This window comes from Homo sapiens, chromosome 22 (genome assembly GCF_000001405.40).
Source record: "Homo sapiens chromosome 22, GRCh38.p14 Primary Assembly".
Taxonomy (NCBI): Eukaryota; Metazoa; Chordata; class Mammalia; order Primates; family Hominidae; genus Homo; species Homo sapiens.
This window is the reverse complement of record NC_000022.11, coordinates 18,411,356-18,415,943: the sequence shown is the minus strand read 5'-3', so window position 1 is coordinate 18,415,943 and position 4,588 is coordinate 18,411,356. Positions and strand designations below refer to the sequence as shown.

General features: G+C 40.5%; 1 long non-coding RNA gene across 1 annotated transcript; it reads left to right on the top strand.

The window, feature by feature from the left end:
• The first annotated feature begins 457 nt into the window (after positions 1-457).
• On the top strand, positions 458-3,236 carry LOC107987325 (uncharacterized). Its single transcript, XR_001755427.1, has 2 exons — positions 458-543; positions 2,957-3,236. It is a non-coding gene; the product is annotated as an uncharacterized LOC107987325 (long non-coding RNA).
• Positions 3,237-4,588: the final 1,352 nt, after the last annotated feature.

Below are 4,588 nucleotides of genomic sequence, written 5' to 3'. Positions count from 1 at the left end.
CTTTTTTTTTCTTTTTTAGACTGAGTCTCCCACTGTTGCCAGGCTGGAGTGCAGTGGCACAATCTCGGCTCACTGCAACCTCTGCCTCCCGGGTTCAAGTGATTCTCCTGTCTCAGTCCCCCGAGTAGCTGGGACTACAGGCATGCGCCACCACACCCAGCTAATTTTTGTATTTTTAGTAGAGACGGGGTTTCCATGTTGGCCAGGATTGTCTTGACCTTGTGATCCACCTGCCTCGACCTCCCAGAGTGTTGGGATTACAGGCGTGAGCCACAGCACCCAGCCTAGTTAGATTCTCATAAGGAGAACATAACCTAGATCCCTTCTATGGGCAGTTCACAATAGGGTTTGTGCTCCTGTGAAGGTCTAATGCTGCTGCTGATCTGACAGGAGGCGGAGCTCAGGCAGTAATGTTCGGCTGGCCAGCCACTCATCTCCTGCTTTGTGCCCAGTTCCTAACAGGACACGAACCGGTGCTGGTCCATGGCTTGGGTGTTGGGGACCATTGGCCTACTGTATTCAGCACAGTGACATGCTGCACAGGTGTGTAGCCCAGGAGCAATAGGCTGTACGATATAGCCTAGGTATGTAGTAGGCTACGCTGTCTAGGTTTGTATAAAGTACACTCTTTGGTGTCTGCACAGCCACAGAATCACCTAATGATGCATTTCTTGGAATATATTACCATTAAATGAGATTTACCTGTATTAGTGTCATCTCAGGTTTATTGTCTAGTAATTTTAAAAGTATTTGTATATTCTTTCCCAGACACATCATCATACTCTGGTGCATATCTCTATTTTATTCCCTAGACCCACTCTTAATTTTTCTGCATTCTGCTTTGTTCCTTAGGAGGCTCACCTGAATTGGATACTTCAGAGATCTCCCTTACCCTCATGCTTTTATTGGGGTTCAGCTAATGGAGGGGGTGGCAGAAGATAGGTGAGAGAAGAGTGTGTTTATCCCCCACCTCTGCCCCTGCAGGGTCAGCACAGGCAGACTGTGTCCCTTTGCTGAAGATCACAGCTTCTGTCTGGTGCCTTCTTGGCAAGCTGGCACTGTCTCTAGTCAGGTGACTGCTTGGCCCCTTACTACTTACACTCTTCTGTCTGGTTTCTTTGTGACTTTCCTGCTGTGCTGTAAGTAGTCCCTTTATTAGAATCCATCCACATTACCCAGTTATATAAAGACAAATAGTTGGTCACTGATGTAGTTCACTCCCTGAGAATCAGCCTTCATCAAAGATCCCTAACAGTCACATATTCTGTTGGCCGCTCCATTCCTGCTCCCCATTATTCTAGTTGTGTCTTCCTTGTCTCTAGTGCAGTCACAAAGCATAAGCGCCTCCACTGTCACTTGTTCTTTGCAACTCTAGGATCACATCATTCCCCTTGAAATCAGAGAATCTGCAATCTCCCCAAGCCCACAAAATTCAGCCATCACAGTACTTTTCAAGCATGCCAGCAGCCCTCCCCAACAAACGAATCCTTAATTTCTTAGAGAAACATCTTCTGGGCTTCCTGTGGGACACAGTGCGGGTCGGCTTGGCATGTGGATCACACCTGATATTTTTACCCCCACCTCCTACTATTCCTATTCCTTTGTATGCACCTCTCTTTATTATGCTAGGAAAGCTCTGGCAACACAACCTCAAAATAAGCAGGCCAGTGTGGATTCACAGTTTCTGTCAGACAAACAAACTTGAGCACCCCTTCTAACTTCTTGGGCTAAGACTTTAACTTCAGAATCTCTATGTATCTATGTTGATAAACTTAGCCTATGTCAAGATTATATTCTGCATGCCTTAGTCAAACACCATGTAAATCTATACCTCATATATTCTCTAGGCTTTAGCTGATAGGGATTAGCAAAGTAGTGTGGTTGTTTTGGTCTTTAAACAATGTCCATTTTCTACCAGCTTTCCATTGCACTCTTTTTTTTTTTTTTTTTTTTTTTGAGATGGAGTCTTGCTCTGTCGCCCAGGCTGGAGTGCAGTGGCGCGATCTCGGCTCACTGCAAGCTCTGCCTCCCGGGTTCACGCCATTCTCCTGCCTCAGCCTCCCGAGTAGCTGGGACTACAGGCGTGTGCCGCCACACATGGCTAATTTTTTGTATTTTTAGTAGAGATGGGGTCTCACTGTGTTAGCCAAGATGGTCTCGATCTCCTGACCTCGTGATCGGCCCACCTTGGCCTCCCAAAGTATTGGGATTACAGGCGTGAGCCACCACACCGGGCCGAATCCATTGCACTCTTACAGACCATGTTGACAAAATTATAACTGCAACAGTCAACTACAATAGCAATTTTACCTCTCATGTACCACTTTAAAAAACACATCATTCCCAATAACCACATTTGATGATTTAAGTAATCATGATACCACCGTACACTACAGATGATCAGGTTTCTGTCTCCTCCCGACAACAAGGTCAGGAATTCATTCAGACTGAAACAGGTCAGCAAACCACTTCCAGATTCTCATCTATAAAGATCTATTTCTAGAACCATTTCTAGTACCTATACAATATTAGAATCAAGTCAGGAAGCAGAAAACATTCTAGATATTTTAAACAGAAAACAATTCATGGAGAGATCAATTACAAGAGTATGTGTAGCAAAAGATGAAAGGGTCAGGTTGTTTAAGTAACTTGATAAATCTCTGCTTCTTTTGTGTTGGGTGATAAAAATGTTGACCAGAGATCAGTGGCAGATGATCCAAGGCGTCAGCTGTCCAAGCTCAGCATCTGGAGCCGGTGCTGAGGAAATGTGCATTTCTAGGTCTGGGCGCCATTGGACCATCACTACTGTCCTTGAAGCTGCCACCGTGAGAACTCACATCTCAGCTGCTATAGCCACAGCTGATATTGTCATTGCTTCCAGAATTATTTCCCTTGCTCCATCGTGGGGATCCCGCAATACTGCTGCTGCTGAAATCACTGTTGTTGCTCCTTCCAGAACTGTCGGCACCGCAGCATTATTATCACTGCAGCTACCACTGGAGATGGCTACAGACACCAGAAACGGAAGAGCACCTCTCCCCTCCTCCGGCAGTGTGACTTTCAGTCGGCTCCTCTCGTAGCCAGATGGTATAGAAATGACACACCAATGTCCTTCAGAACATACATGCAAAATAGTTTAAATATACTAGAAATTCTATTCCCCTTAGAAAACTAAGTCCACCTACATATTTTTCAAAAATCCATCAGCAATACAGAATAAAGGCATTGGTTCTATACAGCGTTGCAAGAATATTTTAACAATAGAAGGTATTTTAATGTCATTCACCACATTAGGAGATTGAAAAAGGGAAAACACAGGATTACCTTAGCAGATGTAGGAAAAAAAATAAGATGGTAAAATACAACATTCATTTATATTAAAATCTTTATACCAAACTAGGAAAAGCAGACAAATTTCTTAACCTGATAAGCTTATCTATAACAAAACCATCGACACCACCATATGTAATGTTGAAGCATAATCGTTATTTTTTATAAAAGCTAGGAAAGGGAATGAGATGTCTGTTGACACTGCTCGTATTTATCATTGTCCTGGGGTTTCTGGCCAGTTCAGTTAAGATAGGACAAAGAAATATTATAGAAAGAGGAAGAAAAAAAGAAAACACATACGTTGTCATTGTGTGGAGTTTCTGTTTGTTTGTTTATGTGTTTTTGTGAGATGGTGTCTCACTCTGTCGCCCAGGCTGGAGTACAGTGGTGTGATCTTGGCTCACTGCAACCTCATTGTGTGGAGATTTGTAATTACCCATAGAAAATCCAAGAAAATTTGTGGATGCACTAATCAAATCAGCAAGGTTTTCAGATATGAAGGCAAAGTAAAGAGAAAATGAAATTCTTATAAACAGTAGCAACCAATTAAAAATATTATATTATAATATCACATTCATGGTAACATAAAACATTAACGTATCTAAGAATTAATTCAGAAAACACATGATCTTTCATTTAATTTTATTAAAGTTATTTCAATAAATATACCACCAGTATTTTTTTAGAACTTGATTGGAAAAGTCATATTAAAATAATCAATGGAAAGGAAGAACCAAAGTTATTCTGAACAATAATAGCCTATCAATATTTAAATGTGTTTTAATTATAATAATTAAAATGGTTTGCTTTGGCTCAGTGATACACCGTTAAACAATGGGAAAAAATGGAAGCACCAAGAAATAGATCCATAGATATGCTGAATACATTGGACTTGTAATAAAAGATATGATACTAAAAGTCAGTAGAAAAATTATACTATTCAATAAATGATGTCAGAAAAAACATATAAATTTTTATCCATATATAAATAAAAATCTGTATATTACAGCATATCACAAAATCCTGTATCTATTTAGGTTAAAGACTCAAATCTTAAACTACTTGTGAAATTACTTATGAATATTACATGTTTAAGATATTTAAAAGTATATACAGAGAACTAATGACGTTGGGCAACAAATGGCTTATTAATCAAATGCCAGAATGCATGAAGAAGAAAAGAAAAGAAAAATAAATTAGACTGTATTAAAATGAAAAATCCTAGGCATCCTAAATAAAGGTTAAATGCAAGCCAGAA